The following is a 20764-nucleotide window of genomic DNA, read 5'->3' on the forward strand; positions in this document are numbered from 1 at the left end:
TCATCAATTTTCCTTCCGTCTCCACATCGCTTAACATCTGATTCACAACTTAATGTATGTCCCAAAAAAAGAAAAGAAAAAAAGGTTGGGGGGGAGCAAAGACAGGCTCTTTATCACTTAAAAGCAATAAAACTAGACTGTTCTACATTATATAATAATTAATAAATAAAATAAATAAATGTATCACTTTAGTTGTGAGGCAGTAGTGTCAGCTAACATAAAACTAACATAAAAACCAAATAAGATTTAAAAAAAAAGGAGTCCAGAATCTGGGGCCTTATCCTTTATTCCAACCCCCAAAGTCAACTGTCTACCTGCAGTATGGGCTCCTCAAATCCCTGGGAGGGGCTCTAAACCCACCATTGACCTTTCTTGAAGGTCTACCCAAGAAGCTTGACTCTGAATCAAAGAGTAAAGGTCAGGGCGAAGGAGAAATCAAGAAGCTTGGGAGAAAACAAAAAGAACATGCCCAGGCCATCCAGGGATCTAACTTGCCAAGTTTTAAACCAACCTTCTGAGCTCTAACAAAATGCACACCCCAGGGTATTAGGACTGATTTACTCTGGCCTGAGGTGACTTCCTGTTTTTGAAGAGAAGAGGTGGGTAGCAACTCAGAGATGGGTTCTGGGCACCGGTCGGCTTTGACAAAACAGTCCTCGCTTGACTTCAGCATAACTGGGGCAGATAGGGCGAGATAGGATTACTCCCCAAACAAGAAGTTTCACAACCAGGCAGGCCGCGTGCCTAGGAGAGCGGGCAGCGGGGTTGGGGGGTGGGGTGGGGGGATGCCAATGCAGGGGCGGGGCTCCCGGGCCTGAGAGAGAGGTGACAGGCACCGGTGAACTTGCAGGGTGACTGGCTTCAGTTGTCTTTTTTCAGCAGGAAACCAAAAAACAGTGCTAAAAGAAGGTGACTGAGAATCAGGAAGACATACTAGCTGCTACTGCCTGTTGCCGGCCTTCTTGCACTTACTCCCCCCATTTAATCACCAGAAGGGAACTCACAGAGGGCAGCAGCTCATTGCAGGGACCATAGAACTAAGGTGCACAATCAGCTCAGTAGGGCAACAACCCACACTGAATTTTTTAAGTAAGACCAAGTTTCAAATACCTCAGTCAATAAAAGCCAGCAATTAGACCACGTGTCCTGTTTCAATAACGAGAGTGAGGTTGCCACCACCATGGGCAGCAATAAAGTTGTGAGCTTGGCTCTGACTTTGCATCAGGGGTGCCCCCGGCTCGGCAACCACTCTACATCAAACAGCTCACAGATCCCCTCCTCCACTCACCCTTTTCCCCCCCGCAGGTGTTCTTTTTCTGAATAGCAACAACTACCACACCCCAGCGTGTTGTTTGTTCACTGGTGTTCCTCCATTTTACCTTGAAACACAAGAAAGCATCCAATAAATAATGGCTAAAAGAGTGAGTCAATGTAGGAATCTATTATCTACGTTTTTCCAGCCAAGCTTCTTATGAATAAGGCCCACGATCAGAGTTTTACAATTCTGTATCTTCTCGGTGTCCTGTACCCAGTAGATGCTTTAATAAACACGCACTGACAGATCAATTCCAGTGGATCCTAGGTCTGGATGAAAAGAAAGGAATAAAGGACAGGATCCCAGAGGGCAGGAGGGCCCACACTCGGTGATGCTGGGTGTTACAGAGAATGCGCCTGTCACCAGGATCCCGACACTTAGGGTGCTCACTCAACACCCCTGTGCCTGGACCTTGGCTTGCCTCAGCCCAGAGAATGCTGCCTGGCAGTCACGTTCCTCCCCCACCAACTTCTCTTTTCCTCGGACGCTCTGTTTACAAGCTTTCCCCAACCTACACTCAGTGTGACCTGGTCTCCACGCGGTTTCTGACATTCCCACACCTAAGTCCACCAGACCCACTTGCTCTTGCACCCCATTTAGAGATATGAAACCCTTGGTTTTTACCTAGCAATCAATCTAACTGCAGCTGACTTTCTCCAGGGGTGAATCTCTCTGACTAGGAAAGCACTATAAATTTGAGGGTGGGATAGGAATAAGACTGGAGAAGGGTGGAAAAGACCCAGTCATCTTACTTTTTTGTTCTGTCTAACAATTGCAGGTGCTTTCATACAAACCTGTTGCCCTTAGCAACCATCCCAAGGACTGTAAGTTAAGGTTTCCATTTCCATCCCACAAACAGAGCATGAAGGCACAGAAAGGTCAACCCTCACAGTATGCTGCTGGGGCACAGTCCTTCTGGCCCGGCTCCCACACACAGACTCCCTGTGCAGTTCTGTGGGGTAGTCCAACCCAGCACAGGATCTGGGATCAGAGAGACCTGAGTCTAAATTATGCCACTGCTAACCTTGAAAAATGTATTTAAACTCGCTAAGCCTTGGTTTTTCTCATGTGAAAATTAAAAAAACGAAACATCTAGCTCACAGAGTGTGTGTGTTATTTAAATGAGATAGCAGCAGACACAAAATGCCTGGTCTGCATCTAGGCATTGCAGATATTTGATAGGGCAAAAGTCAGCATGTAAAACTGTTTTTTTTTTTCTAGAATGCCAGGCACAATACCAGGTTCAGCAAAGCTTGCAAAAATAATACTAGCCACCAAAACGAATGAGAAAAGGGAGGACAAAAAAGGAGAAGAAAAAGAATTAAGGTAATTAGTCTATTTGCACTAAAATAATAATTGTAACAGTAAGTAAGCTAGCTGCTATTTGGATGGCTGGAAAGTTGTTAACCACAACATAATGCAGTGATTGCTAATATATATATTACACAGAGGAAGGATGGAGGGACGCTTTCTGTATAGGAAGGCCTCACACAGTACCATCTGAAATGGGTCTTTATGGATAAGTTGGACTCTGACAAGGAAGGAAGAGAAATGTTAGGCAGAAGGACTCACACATCATAAGCCAACACCCTGCGTTTGGAGGGGGGCTGAAGCAGGGGCCGCCTAGGGAAGTGTGCGGGAAAGAGACTGGGAAGGTAAGAGGGGCCATACCATGAAGGGCTCGGTTTGCCTGACTGAGAAATGAGACTTTATCTCTGAGGCCTCAGAGGTTCCCAGTAGCAGGAGGTGGGGAGACATGACCATATTTGCTTTGGAAAGAACTATGGTGGCTGGGTAGGGGACACAGAGGAGGGGAAGTTGGAGCAAGGAGACGATTAGCAGTCACTCCAAATAGGAAAGTCACACATGGATAAATGGCACCATATGGCAAAAACAGTGAAATCTTCAACGTCAAAGGTGAGCCCCAGAATCACTAAAAACTAAATCCTAGGTTGGGTTCCCTGGCCTAGGCGATTCCTCCGCCTCTGTGCAAGAGTCACCATGAACCCTATCTCTGCCTTCCAGCTGCCGTCCAATCCAAGATAAAGGTGAGTAATCCAAAGGAAAGAGCCCCGAAAACCAAAGGGAATATTTATTTTAAGTAGTTTGACGTCTGTAGGAAGGGGGAAAAAAATCTACCAAGGCCTGAATGGGGAGCCATGACATTCACAGAGCCTAGCCATTGTGTAAAGAGAAAAGTTCCTCAAGATTATGTTTGTCCAAGAAATCAGACAGTTTACGGTCCCCAAGTCAAAACACTCAAGGATTGGAAGCCAGAGTTTCCTGGGCTGAACCCAGTTACTAACTAAAGTGAAAAGGAAAGAGTAATGAGATGCCATGAATTGTTGTTAAGCGGGTGGAGTTGGTTGCCAAGGCTTGAATCCAGCAGATGCAACAGCAGAAACTGGGGCTTGCCAGGCCCCCCGCCCCCGCCCGCTGCCCCACCGCCCACCCTGACCTGGCGCTGCTGGGGTCACTGTGACTGGACCTACTCACAGCTGCAAACACCCTCCCGCCATGGGACACGGGGGAGCTTGAGCCTGGCTGAGTCATGTAAGCCAGCCAGATCAGTGCCAGGCTCGCCCCAGAAATCAAAAGAGACCCCTCTCTTCTTGCTACTTGGGTGACAGTCTATACTGGTGTCCTGCAACAAATGACCACCAGAAGGAGCATGCCAGCCCTCCTTTGTCCTTATTGGAGGTGTTGTGAGAGGTGGGGGAGATTTTATCACCTATAGGAGAAGAGGATAAACCCAGGAAAACCGTTCATGTAAGGACAGTAGGGAGGAAAAGGGGAGGAGAGAGAAAGAATGACAGGGAGGCTGCCACGCCCTTCCAGAGCCTGCTCTCCTCCTTCCTCACCTAGCTCCTTCCACATCTACCCTAAATGAGCTCAGGAGCTGAACTTGGTTGCCCACAGAGTTCTTATCAGGACCACCCTGGCTGAAACACTGAGGGAAGAAATAGGGACAGCGATGAAGAAAGAGTGCTGCTTGACATTGCCATGTCCCATCTGTGCGTCAAGTCACTGAATGTGACCTGTTTGCAGTAAGTTAGAATCCAGCTGCCGCCTGAGAAAGAAATACACCAGGCCCCTCTGGGCAGGTTGTGTGTGTCTGGGGTTGCCCAGTGACCCTGGAGATTGCTCAGATGTCTCCCACGTGATCACACCCCGGTGGCCTTCAGAGAGGTATACACTCTGAATTAGGGCCACTGATGGAGTGGCAAGGTGTTTGGGGCTTGAAGATTTGCCAAAGTGTAAGTCTTAAAGATTGTATTTGTGGAGAGATCCTGAAATGTCTCCACATTTGGGAGATATTTGTGTTTGAGGGTTACAGAGCAAAGATTCTCTTATCAGCACAGCACGGGGTACAAGAATGGCAAGTTTAGCTCAGCAGTCAAAGTCATGAGAAATTCAGAGGGAGGTGTGAAATTTCTTCTTAAAACTGAAAAGCAAAAACATTTCACAAACAAACGAAAAAGGAAAAACCACAGCTAAAATCCGTAAACTATTAACTATATCTGTTTATTAACAACAACAAAAAAAAAAGCAGATGGAGAGCTTTTTCGTTAATAAGCTAAAAAGTTCGTGTTTTTGTTTTCTGTAAGCCTGTTTTAAAGAAAGCTCCATTTCTCATGACTGACCTTCTGAGAATAGAATGAGGTGTTTTCTGCAGTGGAGTCTGATTCTTTCATCACTACCGAAGAGCACTGAGTGATCACCCACACTGCATGGCAGAAAACAGAATGTACTGTTATACCGCATTGATGCCATCAAAGTGTTTGTGGAGTGTAAAATTAATATTCGGCTTATGAGGGTAGGCCGGGGGAGAGGGTGGGTGTTGTTTTGCATCCCACATCAGGACACCCTGTATTTAAACACACTTTGTGTCATCGAGGGTGCTTTCAGAACCCATGCACCCAGAACCAAGTTCGGCCGTCAGCCACATGGAAAGGCAGCACCCCATCCCTTCCCCTTAGCACTTCCTGACCCTTCTCCTTTTGCTTCCTACTCCTAGTTTTCCCCCTTCCGCAAAGAAAAGAGTTCTAAACCAGATCACAGTAAGACCTTAGGGATGAAAGTAGCCATCCCCTTCTGAAGGTGTTTGCATTCTACAGAATGGAAGGATTCTGGCCAGGGCTGCAGCAGGTAGTGGTGAGCATGAAGCCAGGAAGGCTAAGATCAAAATCGGGGACCCTGCGGGAGATTGGAGGGGACTTCTGAGTGTACCTCACATTCCATCAGATAGGCCCTAATCATTTTGCCAAAGGGAGGGATTTGAGGGGATCATAGCAAAGGTTCTCTTATCAGGACAGCCCCAGGAAGCCCTGCAAAGGTGAGGAGAGACAGCCAATGAAGGATGAAGCTGTGTGAATTTTAGCTTCAGCCTCAGGTTCTGCTCAGCAAAAGTGGAAGATCTGGTCATTTATAGACTCCTGGACTTAAATCAAAAGAGCCAGAACCTCGACATAGCGACTCCAGGAGCTAGGTGACACTGAAGTCACCTTACCCCTCCATATCCTGTAAAACAGGGATGATCACAAGAGAAAGTTGTGGAGCTGAAATGGGCTGATGCACTCGAAGGCTTTTTCACTCAGAGACGGTCAGAAGACATTTGCCAGATGATTTCCAGATGTGTCAGAATGGGGAGCACTCTCTTTTGAGCAGGATAGCTCTCTCCCACACTTAATGTATGCCTGAGAGGAGAGAGAGAGACAAAGAATGATCAGACTGTACACCATTTGTGGACAAAGGGTCATCATAGGGCTTTGACAATTCTCCAAGAGCACTGGTTCCACATAGAAGCTGGCTTCACAGGCTGGCATTGGGATTAGGCCAGAGGTCAGATAGTAGGTGTGGCAAGGCCCCAGGTGGGCTAAGGCTGGCCATGGAGACAGGTGGGCTTTCCTGTTGAATGCTTCCAGGGAAGTCATGCCGTCTGGAACCTCAGATTTGGCAAATCAGCAAAGGAAAATTGGTCGCAATTATTTTCCAGGGCTTCCATGCTCTCTGATGTGTTAGATCCTTGTTAGCATTAACCAGAGTTAAACATTTGTTTTATTCTGTGGATGGAGAGACAGGTTTTAGAACACCTTCCCTGACAAGGTTAAGGTTGCAGGTTCTGAAAATTATCTCCGGTCTCCAAAGTTTTTGTATTTCAGTGTCTTTGGTGCTTTTTTGTTTTGTTCTATTTTGAAGTAACTTTATAGTTTTTGTTTGTTGTTTTTTTTTTTTAAGTACAGATATGTTGAGCACAGAAAAAAAAAAAAAAAAAAACATTGCAATAACCTTGACTTCTGAAAAGTCCTCTCATTCTTCCAGGGGAGGAATTTTGTTTTTCAGGAACTGTTTTTTCATAAAGACAAAAGTCTTAGCAGTTTGGATTTCGGCCTTTGAGTTTTTCTTTTCATCATGTGTAATTTCAAATTGTACTGAGGTCCTTCCTCCTGGAACCTAGCGAATACAGCTCAATGGCGCCCCCTGAAGGCCAACGTAGAGGGGTACAGTAAAAGAGGATAAAATGAGGAACCTCCAGCCCTCCGTATCCGACCAGCCAAGACAAACCACCATCTAGGCCCAAAGGCAGGTTAGCGTGTGGCAAAACCCAATAGCTGCATTCAAAACCCAGTTCTGACAACAACAAGCTATTTCTGCATGTTCCCACATAGTTGAGAAGAGATTGAGCTTTGGCATAAAACAGGTCAAAGGCCTTGGATTGAATTCCAGCACAGACAAGTTACTTAATCTCTCTAACTCACTTTCTCTTTCTGTATAATGTAGAATACAAAGTGATTTTTTTAATTGCTTACTATGTGCAGGCTTTGTCCTAAGTGTTTAGCATGTGTTAGCTCATTTAGTTCTTGCTAAAACCCTCTAGTTTGTGTGCTATTAGTACCCACTTTGTACAAATAAGAAAACTAGGGCCTGGAGTGAGTCAGAAGCCTTCACAGCTGCTAACTGAAAAAAACAGGGCTGAACGCATGTGGTGCAGTCCGGAGCCTGGACTCACCGCCACATGTCACACTGATGCCCATACTTACCAGGTGGGACCACCGTGAGGACTAGAAAGAGAAATGTCAACCACATAGCCCTGGACTGGCACAGAATAAATGCCCAACAAATAATAGCCATAATTATTCCCATTCTTGGTCGACCACCTTAATAAAAGCTACCATAGAGGCAGGGAATCAGTAAGAAGAGATGACTAAGAGGATGCTTACTGCATGTAGGAAAATCAGTTAATGCTCGTGTGACTGGCTTATTTCCCTTTGCATACTGTCCTTCAGGTCCATCCATGTTGTCACATATGGCACGATTTTCATTTTTTTTTAAGGCCGAGTAATATTCCACTGTCTGTATCTACCCATTTTCTTTATTCGCCCATTGATGAACATTTAGGTTGTTTCCACATCTTAGCTCATCTTGACAGTGCTACAATGAACATGAGCATGTTAATATTTCTCCAAGATCATGATTTCAATTCTTTTGGATAAATACCTAAAAGTGGAATGGCTGGATCCTATATTAGTTCTGTTTTCCTCTTTTTGAGGAACCTCCCTACTGTTTTCCATAGCGGCTATACCATTTTACATTCCCACCATCTGCGCCAGAGTTCGAATTTCTCCACATCCTCACCAACACTTTTTATCTTTTGTTCTTTTGATAACAGCCATCCTCACTATTGTAAGGTGATATCTCATTATGGGGAAAAATTATATGAAAAGGAAGCATCAAATTAATAGGCAAGAAAACCAGTACATAGTATTTGGACAGTTGGCATATTACTTAAAAATTATGTATGAATCCAAAAAATTAATTAACTCTTACTATATTAGTATTCTGATTGTTGACATTAACCTGTAACAATAGGAGAAAAAGTTAGTTCAGGAATCACTTCCCAATTACATCTGTTACAAATGCAAGGAGAAACAAATACAAGGAGAAACTCCTTTGCATACAATATTTTAAAGAAAAGGACAGGTGAGTTTTGGGATGCGAGGAGAGGGGCAAGAAACTGTCTTCTGTGTGGAGAGGGATCTTGAAACATATCTTCCAATGGGAGGCCAAATGCAGGGGGGCATTGCTTTCAAGAAACTAAAGGTCCTGAGTGCCTCCCAGGATAGCAGTTAATGAGCATGAGCTGGGTTTTCAAGAAGTCTGAATCTATTCAACTACAAAGTAGCTTCCTTCAACTGTAGCAGCCTTGAGAACTTGTGTTCTGCACCTACAGAGACCCCTTCTGCCCAAATACTGGTGGTGCAATGCAGCCAACCGCTGCATCTCCCAAAAGATGCCGGGAAAGAGGCAGACACCCAAACCCACCCTGGGCCTGGGCAGACCCCTCTAGCCTCTGACAAGTCCAGGCACTGCTCAGACCTTCACATGCACACCTAGGGCCCCTTCATTATTCAGCAAGCTCTTCCCAGGCTCCCATCTGGCATCAGGCATGGTGCTGGGAGCTGCTGGGCACACGGATGAGCAGGTGGTGACCCTTTTCCATCAGCTACCCAGAGCCAGCTGCAGAACAGCGCCGAGAGCACATGCCTATAATGTGGGGCAGAGGGTCACACCGAGGACTCTCCCAGAGGGGAGTTATTTGAGCTGCTCTGGAGCAATGCAGACAAGAGGGTACAGAGCACAGAGGCCTGGGGTGGGGACTCCCAGGGACCAGGAGAGGCATGAGGTGGGAAGTGGGGAGCCAGGCTAGAAAGGGCCTTGTGAGTCCTCTGGGGGAGTTGCAGCTTGTCCTATTAGCCATGTGCAGGCTCTTTGGTTTTCAGAGAATGAGGATCATTCACAAGGGTGACTGGAGCTCCTGCGGGATGTGCACACCTGGCCTGAGGTTGAGATGACACAGAAAGAGTCACAGGGCCGGGGTCTCCCGCAGAGCTAGTCTTCTGTTTGAGTGTCATTTATCACCTCTTTCCAGAGGACAAGATGATGGCTTTATGACCAAAGGGGCTGGCTATGGAGGCCTCTCTTAATTTCTAATTGAGAGCCCATAATCACCACAAAGAAAAGCCTCTACCACCCAGGACTTCCGGGGAGACTAGAATCCGACTCAGAGGTGTTTTGTAACAAAACAGGGGTGGAGAAGATTAAAAAAAATCAAAAAAACAAGAAGGTTAGGAAAAAAGGCATTACTAAATTCTCCTTCATAGTACATAAGGTTTTTAAGGTAGGTAAATCACATCAGCCCAGCCACACTCAGTGACCTTTGTGATGGAAGAGGTGACCACTGGGCCAGTAAAGAAGTCACAAGGGTCCCAGGCCTGACCTTTAGCATTTCTGTGATTTTTAAATATCCATAAAACAAAGGTCTGTATGAGACCCAATGGAATCAGAAGCCCAAGTCCCAGCTCAAGTGGGGCCTGGCCACAGCAGGCTCTGGCAAGTCTCTGGCCCTGCAATAAGCCCTGGGGGCTTCCCCGGGCTCTGGGCCTTGCCTCCTATGCTCTGGGCAGCCTGGGTCCACGGGAGAGGAGTGAAAGTCTATTTGGCAAAAAGAACCAAACAGAGGGTTGCTCTGCTTGTCGAGAAAGCAGCACCATTGTCCTGAAAACCTCTACCTCCAGATCCCCGGGGATAACCTGAAGCCTGGAACATCACTGATGTCAGCCTCGTGAACACCCTGTCTTCTCCCACAAGCTCAGTGAAGGAAAGTAGATGGCCTCAAAAGCTCCTGTTACCATGCAGGTGCTCCAAGTCAGGTCACAGGCCGCCTCCCCGGGTCCCCATCCCTGGCTTCGTCATAATCCTGGCTGCCCAGTGACAGCTCTCTTTCTGGGAAGGAGCAGAAAATGGGGCTCCCTGATGTCCTGAAGGGGTTTAGCCTCAAAGCTTCTTGCCAGGCTGGGAACAGATAGAGTGGCCACTTATTAGGAGTTAAGAGGTCAGTATAGGTGCAGAACAGTGTTTTTAAAAGTGTGTCAGGAGCCAAGTAGACACATGGAAAACACAATTCCTGATAGTCTCACTTTTTTTCATGAAATGGGAATTAAAAGATTGTTAGAACGGGGACTGAAATAGTAAAAGAAAGCTTGAAGTGAGGGGGTAGAGGTGTGAACTAGGTAGTAAGGGTCATGGAAGAAAAAGCTGACCTAGAACAAGTGAAAGAGTTGGTGAGAAGCTCTGAATTCTAGCTGAGTTAAAAGACGATGAATTTTAGTTGTAAAGTTGTAGTTTTTAAAAAACTACAGTTTTTTTTTTTTAAGTCAGCATGGTTGTGTGATTTGTTTTATCCCTATTCTGCTTCTCAAGGTGTAAGATCAAAAGCAATGACTTGTAGCATTGAGCCAGGCTTGGGAATTCATTGGATGTGTGTGAAATTTATTCAGTTGACAAATATTTATTGTTTTTGCAATGCACTACTCTGAATATGAAGGGTGGAAAAAAGCAATACAAACTCTGCCCTTATAATCCATAGAATCTAGTGAAGAATGGTCATGACCCAAGACAGCCAAGGGTAATGTTGATGGAGTGTGGTCCAGATGATCAGCCATAGGGGGGAAAAGAAGGAAGTGGGGAGACCAGGGGATCAGAGGTACCTGTGAGATCAAAGATCAGTCTTACTCATAAGAAAACTAACAGAGTAAGAGACCAGTCTAAGACTAGAACATCAACTTTGCTATGGAAAGCAGTGATGCCAAGATCTAGGTCAGGACTCTGGGGCTGGAAAGGAGAGGAGCGGAGATGCAGATCATTGGAGCGGGAGGTCAAGACTGGGAAGCCAGGCTGGTAGGACAGGCCATGTGCTGCGATCTAAAACAGGAGTTAAGGTAGAGAAGAAGTTTTAAGACAGGTCCAAACTCTCAACTAATGAGGAAACACAACCTGAAATTTGGTTCACTGGGGAATATGGGCCACAATGGAAGATGAACTTTTATTAAAAAAAAAAAAAAAAAGGTAGAACATCTGGTGGGAGTTCTGGGTACTGAGAAAATATTCCACTCCAGGATCCAGTGTATGTAGATCAGAAAATGAGTAGCCTCCAGCGAGAAAGTGCATTTCCATTAAAACATTTGAGTGGAGAGAGTGGTATATTACACAGGGCTTTCCAGAGAAACAGACCAATAGGACAGAGAGACAGAGAGAGAGAGAGCATTACTCTAGCCTCACACTGCTAATAAAGACATATCCGAGACTGGGTAATTTATAAAGAAAAAGAGGTTTAATGGACTCACAGATCCGCATGGCTGTTGGGGGCCTCAAAATCATGGTGGAAGGCGAAGGAGGAACAAAGGCATATCTTCCATGGTGGCAGGCAAGAGGATGTGTACGGGGAAACTGCCTTTTGTAAAACCATCAGATCTCATGATACTAATTCACTATCACGAGAACAGCACGGGAAAAGCCTGCCCCCATTATTCAATTGTCTCTGCTTGGTCCCTCCCATGACACGTGGGGATTATGGGAACTACAATTCAAGATGAGATTTGGATGGGGACACAGCCAAACTACATCACAGAGGGAGATTAATTTTAAGAAATTGTATCCTGTGATTGTGGGGGCTGGCCTGCCGGCTGGAGACCTAAGAGAGATATAGAGTTGTTGCAATTTGAGTCTGAAGGCAGTATGGAGACAGCAGTTCTTCTTACTCCGGGACTGCAGTCTTTTTTCTTGAGGCCAGGCTTTCTGCTGGTTGCACAAGGCCTCCCCAAACACATCATGAAGGGTTATCTGCTTTACTCAAACTCTACTGATTTAAATGTCAATCACATCTAAAAAATTCCTTCACAGCAACATCTGGACTACAGTTTGACCAACACCCATGCGTTACGGCCTGACTGAGTTAACAAACAAAATTCACCATCACAAGTGGTCTTCGTAATGGTGGAGGATGACGAAAAGCTTGACCGTAGATTCCTAAAACTGCAATGGCAACAGTTGGGGAAGAGCAAAAAGAGGGAGCGGAGCCACAGGTGAAGCAGGGAGAAGCAAGAGGTTAAGAGGACAATAGAGAAAGGGAAATCGGAGGTGGGTGGGGAGAAGGGGTTCCCTGTGTGCAGTGACCACATGTTGGTGGCATAAGCAGTATGGCTGAATATAGCCAACTGCAAATAACTGACCTTTGGTACAAGGTATTTTGGTGCCCAACCTGAGCCAGGATTTAAGACAGAATTTGGACTGGCCTTTAGGAAACAAAAGGGCTGCCATGGCTCCCCCTGTGATTCCCCGCCTTCTCCACATCCTCTGTCTCCTGGAGTCTATTCCAGATGCTCCATCTCCCTGTTGGGAGCAGTGGTGAGAGGCTAGGCTGGAGCTCAGCAAGTTAGGTGCTGAGGGCATGAAATACAGGAAAAACTCACTCTCAGTGCTGTGCAAGGTCAGGTCACACTACCTGCTGCCCTGAAAAATGGCCATGCTAGGTGTGTCAGGGCTCCCTGCTGCACAGAGAAGAAAACAAACATGCCACCCAATCTTGGAACTCACAGGCTAATGCTGACAATATTTTAGTAACAGGCATAAAAGACAACTGAACAGTTATAGGTTGGTTTGTTTGTTTTTATCCAAGATGGCAGATTAGAGGCTTTTAGCATACCTCAGCCACTTGGAAACAGAAAAATAGAACATAAAGATTAACTCTGTGAGCTTCAATTCAAAAAGGAAAATGAGAATCTACCAGAATCATGGACACCCCAGATCTCAAAGAGGAGAATGACAGCAAACAGCCCCTGTGACGGCATCCGGCTGATAAAAGTGAGTGAAGCCCCATAAGTGAGAGGCAGAAAGCCTTCGTCTGTGGCTCATCTTTCCCCTGGGGATCTGAACAACCCAGGCCAAGGGATTGCACTTTGCTTCTCCTAAGCCCTGGAGCTAATTTGGGGAGATACATGGAGGTCCAGCGAGGTAAAGACACCAAGAAAAGCTGTAGACATTTTCTTAGACCTGGGACTGAGAGCAGGACACCATTTTTAATCTGGGTGCATACTAAGTCAGCCATTTCTTGGCAACCCAGCAGTCTGGCTGTGCAGGCATTGTAGTCTCAGGCCAGAGACTGGAGCACCTGCTCTGGAGCAGAGTAGGAGCCTCCACAGCCAGAACTGTGGAAGGCACCTCAGCAGTAGGTGCTGGAATTGTGCTCTCCCTCTTCACAAGCCTGGGGTGGGAGGAGAGCTACAGCTGCAGTTTCTCCTGGATGGTGAGACTTGTAGTCACAGCCAGCTTGGAGACCTGAAACTGATCTGTGTGTGCCATTGCTGGGTCCCCTACCCTGCTCTCCTGAGATCATAGTGCAGTCGGGCCCTTTCTACTCCATGCCCAGACAGATCTCCAGGCATTAGGAGCACTCATTCTCTTGGTTCAGCAGCCTGAGCTGCTCCACCATTCCTGGACATAAGATCTTAGTGCTATGGGGCTCTTTGCTCCTTGCCCAGGCAGGTCTCCAGATTTTCAGAGTACCTGCTAGCTTGATTCGGCAGCCTAAGTTGCCCCGCCCTTACTAGACATAGATTGTGGTAAAGTAAGACTCTGCTCCATGCCCAGGCAGACCTCCAGGCATTCAGAGCAACTTTTCTCCTGGTTCAGCAGTCTGAGCTGCCCTACCCTTCCTATGCAGAGATCCAGGTGCAAGGGAACCCTCTCTGCTATATGCCCAGGAAAATCTCCAGGCATTCAGAGCACCTGCTTGCTTGGTCCAGCAGCCTGAGATGCCCCACCTCTCCTGTTCAGAGATTTTGTTTCAGGGGTACTCTCTCTGCTTCAGACCCAGGCAGTTTCAGGCATTTGGAGTAGTGCTCACCTGGATCAACACCCTAACTAGTCCTATCCTTCCTGTGCAGAGATCCTGGTGCAAGGAGGCCCTCTTTGCTTCGTGTCCAGGCAGATCTCCAGGCATCTGGAGCTCTCACTCTCCTGGATTAGGAGCTTAGGCTACCACACACCCCCATCCCTAAGCAGAGAACTTGGAGCCAAGGAGGTTTTCCAGCTCCATGACTAGACACACCTCTGGGTGCCTGGTGGCTACCCACTGGATTATCCCTTGGCACTGGTGCTTATGCCTGCCATTAGGGGAACTGCAGGAGGACCTGCCTGGTCCAGCCCTACACTTTGTGGCTCCCGCCCCTTCAAGGCTGAGCAGGGAGCTCAGACCACTGGACATTCCACAAATCAGCCCATTGCCTGAGGCAACAGAGAGCTTCTCCCAGTAAACAAGGATCAATATATACCCAACCACATTGCCCGCAGGTGGTTCATACCTATAAATGCCATCTATAGGCTTGTAGGATGAGCTGCACAGCCCAATATAAAACCTGCTGGAAGGAGTGCATATGACTATAGAAACAAAGTCAAAAGACTCTACCCAGAATTCTCTACAGTCATGCCTCCTAGGAATTGAGGGAAAGAGAAAGGGAAAGAAAAAAAAAGAAAAATTGTATCAGTATAGGGTGAGAAAGAAAAAGAAAAATCCTACCTGCACGAAAATAATTACAAAAATTAGAAGTGCCAGCATCTCCAAATGAGAGAAAACCAGTGCAAGAATTCTGGCCCCATGAAAAATCTGAATGTAGTGACCACATCAAAGGATTGCACTACCTCTCCAGCAATGGTCCCTAACCAAAATGGAAACTCAGAAATACCAGATAAAGAATTCAAAGCATAGATTGCAGGAAGCTCATTGATATCCAAGACAAGGTTGTAAATCAACACAAAGAAATTTCTAAAACAATTCAGGAAATAAGAGATAAAATCTTAAAAAGAAATCAATCAGAGCTTCTAAAACTAAAAACACTTGGATTTCAAAATACAACTGAAAGCTTTATCAATAGGCTGGACCAAGCAGAAGAAAATTTCAGAGCTTGAAGACTGGTCTTTTGAACTAACTGAATCTGACAAAAATAAAGAAAAAATATTTTTAGAAGGTGAGTAAAGCCTTTGAGAAGTATGGGATTATGTAAAGCAACCAAATATACAAATTATTGGCATTTCTGAGAGAGAAGGAGAAAAAGCAAACGACCTGAAAAATATATTTGAGGGAAAAATTCAAAAAATTTCCCTAATCTTGCTAGAGAGGTACACATCCAGATATAAGAACCCTAGGTACCTGTAAGATACTATATAAAATGAACATCACCAAGGCATGTAGAACAGAACATCACCAAGAACAGTCACCAGACTGTCCAAGATCAATACTAAAGAAAAAATCTTAAAGACAGTAGAGAAAAAGAGCAGATCATGTACAAAGGGAACCCCATCAGGCTAACAGTGGACTTCTCAGCAGAAATTTTACAAACCAGGAGAGATTGAGGGCCTATTTTCAGCATTCTTAAAGAAAAGAAATTCCAACCAAGAATTCATATCCCACCAAACTAAGCTTCATAAGTGAAGGAGAAATAAAATCTTTTCCAGAAAAGCAAATGCTGAGGGAATTTGATACCACTAGATCAGCGTTACAAGAGATCCTTAAGGGAGTTCTAAACACAGAAACAAAAGAATGATACCTGCTACCACAAAACACAATTAAGTACATAGCCTGCAGACCCTATAAAGCAAAACACAATAGAAACTACAAAGCAAACAGCTGACAACTTCACAATAGGATCAAAACAGCAAATATCAATATTAACCATGAATGTAAATGGTCTAAACTCCCCACTTAAAAGCCACAGATGTCTTCAAGAGACCAATCTTATACATAATGACACCCATAGGCTCAAAGTAAAGGGCTGGAGAAAGATCTACTATGCAAATGGAAAAAAAAAAAAGCAGAAGTCATCACTGTTATGTCAAATAAAATTCAACCAGAAGACTTAACTATTCCAAATATATATACAGCCAACATTGGCACCTCTAGTCCATAAAACAAATACTTCTAGACCTACAAAAAGACTTAGCCATGCAATAACAGTGGGGGACTGCGAGACCCCTACTGACAGTATCAGACAGATCATTGAGGCAAAAAACTCACAAACAAATTCTGGACTTAAACTCGACACTTGACCAGTTGGACCTAATAGACATCTATAGAATACTCCAGCTATCAACCACAGAACTAAGATTGACCACCACTGAAATAATACCAACCATGCTCTCATACCACAGTGGAATGAAAATAGAAATCAATACCAAGAAGATCTCTCAAAACCATATAATTACATGGAAATTAAACAAATTGTGCCTGAATGACTTTTGGGTAAACTATGAAATCAAGGCAGAAATCAAAAAAATCTTTGAAATAAATGAAAACGGAGACACAACATATTAAAATCTCTGAGATACAGCAAAAATAGTGTTGAAAGGAAAGTTTATAGTGCTAAATGCCTACTTCAAAAAGTCAAAAAGTTCTCAAATTAATGATCTAACATAACACCTAGAGGAACTAGAAGAACAAGAAAGACTAATCTCAAAGCTAGCAAAGGAGAAGAAAATAAATAAATCCAAGTAGAACTGAATGAAATTGAGACCGAAAAATCCGTACAAAGAATCAACAAAACCCAAAGTTGGTTTTTTGAAAGGATAAACAAAATCACTAGAATGGTGGCTAGAATAATAAGGAAAAAGAGAGAGAAGATCCAAATAAGAACAATCAGATATGACAAAAGTGACATTAAACCAATCCCACAGACATACAAAAGATCCTCAGAAACTATTATGAATGCCTCTATGCACACAAACTAGAAAATCCAGAGGAAAATGATACATTTCTGGGAGCACACAATCTCCCATGATTGATCAGGAACAAATTGAAGCACTGAACAGACTAATATTGAATTCCAAAATTAAATCAATAATTTTAAAAACTTACCAACCAAAAAAAGTGCCCCAGATCAGATGGATTCACAGCCAAATTCTACCAGACATACAAAGAAGAGCTGTTATCAATTCTACTGAAACTATTTCAAAAAATCAAGAAAGAGAGACTCCTCCGTAACTCATTTTATGAATCTCATAACCCCCTGAGACAAAAACCTGGCAAAGACAGAATGTGAAAAGAGAACTATAGGCCAATATCCCTCATGACCGTACAGGCAAGTATCCTCAACAAAATACTGGTGAACCAAATTCAACAGCACATCAAAAAGTTAATTCACCATGACCAAGTAGGCTTCATTTGCAGATGCAAGGTTGGTTCAACATATGCAAATCAATAAATGTGATCCACAACATAAATAGAATTAAAAACAAAAAACATATGGTCATCTCAATAGACAAAGAAAAAGCTTTCAATGAAATTAAACACTTCTTCATGATAAAAACCATCAAGAAATTAGGCATTGAAGGAACATAGCTCAAAATAATAAGAGCCATCTATGACAAACCCATACCCAACATTATACTGAATGGGCAAAATCTGGAAGCATTCCCCTTGAGAACTGGAATAAGACAAGGTTGCCCACTCTCACCACTTCTATTCAATAAAGTACTGGAAGTGCTAGCCAGAGCAATCAGAAAAGAGGAAGAAATAAAAAGCATCCACATAGGAAAAGAAGAAGTCAAACTCTCTCTTTTCATGAATAATCTGATTCTATACCTTGAAAAACCTAAAAACTCCACTTAAAGGGTCCTGGATCTCATAAATGGCTTCAGCAAAGTTTCAGGATACAAAGTCAATTCATAAAAATCGGTAGCATTTCTATACACCAAAAACATTCAATCTAGGAGCCAAATCTAGAATACAACCCCATTTACAATAGCCACAAAAAAGTACCTAAGATTATATCTAACCAAGGAAGTAAAAGATCTCTACAAGGAGAAACACAAAACACTGCTAAAAGAAATCACAGATAACACAAACAAATTGAAAAATATTTTATGTTCATTCACTGGAAGAATCAATATCATGAATATCATCATACTGCCCACCACCAATGTCATTCTTTACAGTATTGGAAATAACTATTCTAAAATTCATATGGAAACAAAAAAGAGCCTGAGTGGCCAAAGCAATCCTAAGCAAAAAGAACAAAGTTGGAGGCATCACATTACCCAACTTCAAACTATATTATAAGGCTACAGTAACCAAAACAGCCTGGTACTGGTACAAACATAGACATGTAGATCAATGGAACAGAGTAAAGAACCTAGAAATAAAGTCACACACCTACAGCCATCTAATCTTGGACAAAGTTGACAAAAATAAGCAATGGGGAAAGGATGCCCAATTCAATAAATGGTGCCAGGATAGCTGGCTAGTCATATACAAAGGAATGAAACTGTACCCCTACTTTTCACCATATACCAAAATTAACTCAAGATAGATTAAAGATTTAAATGTAAGATGTCAAACTATAAGAATCCTAGAAGAAAACCTAGGAAACATCATTCTGGACATGAGCCTTGGGAAATAATTTATGCCTGTCCTCAAAAGCAATTGCAACAAAAACAAAAATTGACAAGTGGTACCTAAATAAACTAAAGATCTTCTGCACAACAAAAGAAACTATCAACTTCTGCACAACAAAAGAAACTACAGACAACCTACAGATCAGCAGAAAATCTTGCAAACTATGCATCCAATAAAGGTCTAATATCCAGAATCTAGAAGGAACTTTTTAACAATCGAACAAGCAAACACCAAATAACCCCATTAAAAAATGGCCAAAAGACATGAACAGACACTTCTCAAAAGAAGATATGCAAGAGGACAGCAAATATACAAAAAAATACTCATCACGAATCATCAGAGAAATGCAAATTAAAACTACAATGAGATACCATCTCACACCAGTCACAATGACTATTAAAAAGTCAAAAGCAACAGATGTTGGTGGGGCTGTGGAGAAAAGGAACACTCATACACTGCTGGTGGGAATGTAAGTTACTTCAGCCACTTTGCAAAGCAGTTTAGATATTTCTCAAAGAACTTAAAACAGAACTACTATTTGACCCAGCAATCCCATTATTGGGTATATACCCCCACCAAAAAAAACAACAAATTATTCTACCAGAAAGACACATGCACTCATATGTTCATTACAGCGCTATTCACAATAGCAAAGTCATGGAATCAACCTAGGTGCCCATCAACAGTAGATTGGACAAAGAAAATGTATATATACACCATGGAATACTACATACCCATGAAAAAGAATAAAATCATGTCCTTTGCAGCAATGGGGATCCAGCTGAAGGCCATTATCCTAAGCAAATTATCACAGGAACAGAAAATCAAATACCACATGTTTTCACTTACAAGTGGGAGCTAAACTTTGGGTACTTATGGACATAAAGATGGCAACAATAGACACTGGGGGCTGCCAGAGAAGGGAAGGAGGGAGAGGTCAAGGGTTGAAAAACTCACTGTTGGGTAACATGCTTACTACCTGGGTGACAGAATCATTTGTACTCCAACCTCAGCATCACCCAATATGTCCAGGCAACAAACCTGCACGTGTACCCCCCGAATCTAAAAATAAAAGTTGAAAAAAAGACCGTTGTACAAATTTTAAAACAACAAATAGAATTAGCATCATACAAACATATTCTGCTTGTGCCAGGAGCCGAGTTCAGAATCCAGTACATTCCTGCTCAGTTTTCACTGTCCAAAAATGATCTGCATTGTGAGAGCCTGAACTCCCATCAGCTTGGGCTCTAGAATCTACACTGTCACCAAACTCAAGCATTTATTGACTGCCTACCATGTGCCAAACATCGTAATACATCTTGGGTCCATCGTTTCTGGGTTTTCTGTTTAGCAAATCGGCCCTGGGGCAGCCTACTGGCCCTCCTCTATAGGCCTAGACTACAGAAAAGCGACTGCTTACCTCCGACCACACCAGGAGGCACCGCCCAGTGGCCAGGCACTCTGACTGCAATGTCCAATCCCTCCACCACTCAACCACAGGGGAAAGTGTGTCATTCTCAGAGTCCTCTAGGCCACATCTAAGCTGCTGCGCTTTCCTTTCCCTCTCTCCCCACCTGTTTCCATGAATTAGAAGCCACTGAAATGTAAAAGCAAATAAATAACAAAGCTTAGCAGGGACTAAGAAGCTGAGAGGGCCACTGAATGTCCCAGCACTCCGCCTTCCTGCCCATCTGAGAGGCCGCAGGCAGCCAGGGAATCTCACTCCTGGGGCGCCAAAAGCAACAGGAGCCACTGACCAGAATTCCGTTTGCTTTTTCCCCTCCTCTTCTCTCTGGATGATTTTTCCATTCCCTCCTTGCCAGGGCTGCTCTGGAGGACCCAAGAGAAGCCAGGCCAGCTTGCTAACTCAGGAAAATGGCACATGTGGGCCATTTTCCACATGCTTCATGTGGGCTTAAGAAAGGCCAGCCGGGGTTCTCTTGTAAGAAGTCTGATTTTTTTAAGGGAAGTGATAAAAAGAGACACAGATTAGTCCCTGCACCCCCTCCCATGTTCCCTTCTTGGCCCCTAGCACTGACCACTGGACAGGGAGATTCTGTAAGCCTCCTTTTCTTCCCATTGTCTTACAAAGGATGAATCCCAAGGAGGCAAAGATGGGTCCCAGCAGTCCATGCAGAAGGGAGGCTTCTGCAGATCGCACTTAA

At 44.1% G+C, this 20764-nt stretch overlaps 3 annotated features.

The window, feature by feature from the left end:
- Positions 402–1288: a transcriptional cis regulatory region, noted in NCBI's record as "chr11:128494058-128494944 region (GRCh37/hg19 assembly coordinates) targeted for CRISPR interference". NCBI's record gives its function as "positively regulates ETS1 gene expression in GM12878 lymphoblastoid cells {active_cell/tissue: GM12878}" and the evidence as "EXISTENCE:mutant phenotype evidence [ECO:0000015][PMID:33828297]".
- Positions 630–679: a silencer, noted in NCBI's record as "silent region_4055". NCBI's record gives its function as "represses an Ori minimal core promoter by ATAC-STARR-seq in GM12878 lymphoblastoid cells {active_cell/tissue: GM12878}" and the evidence as "EXISTENCE:reporter gene assay evidence [ECO:0000049][PMID:35858748]".
- Positions 4513–4722: an enhancer, noted in NCBI's record as "active region_5730". NCBI's record gives its function as "activates an Ori minimal core promoter by ATAC-STARR-seq in GM12878 lymphoblastoid cells {active_cell/tissue: GM12878}" and the evidence as "EXISTENCE:reporter gene assay evidence [ECO:0000049][PMID:35858748]".

Source organism: Homo sapiens, chromosome 11, assembly GCF_000001405.40.
Source record: "Homo sapiens chromosome 11, GRCh38.p14 Primary Assembly".
NCBI classification, from domain to species: Eukaryota; Metazoa; Chordata; class Mammalia; order Primates; family Hominidae; genus Homo; species Homo sapiens.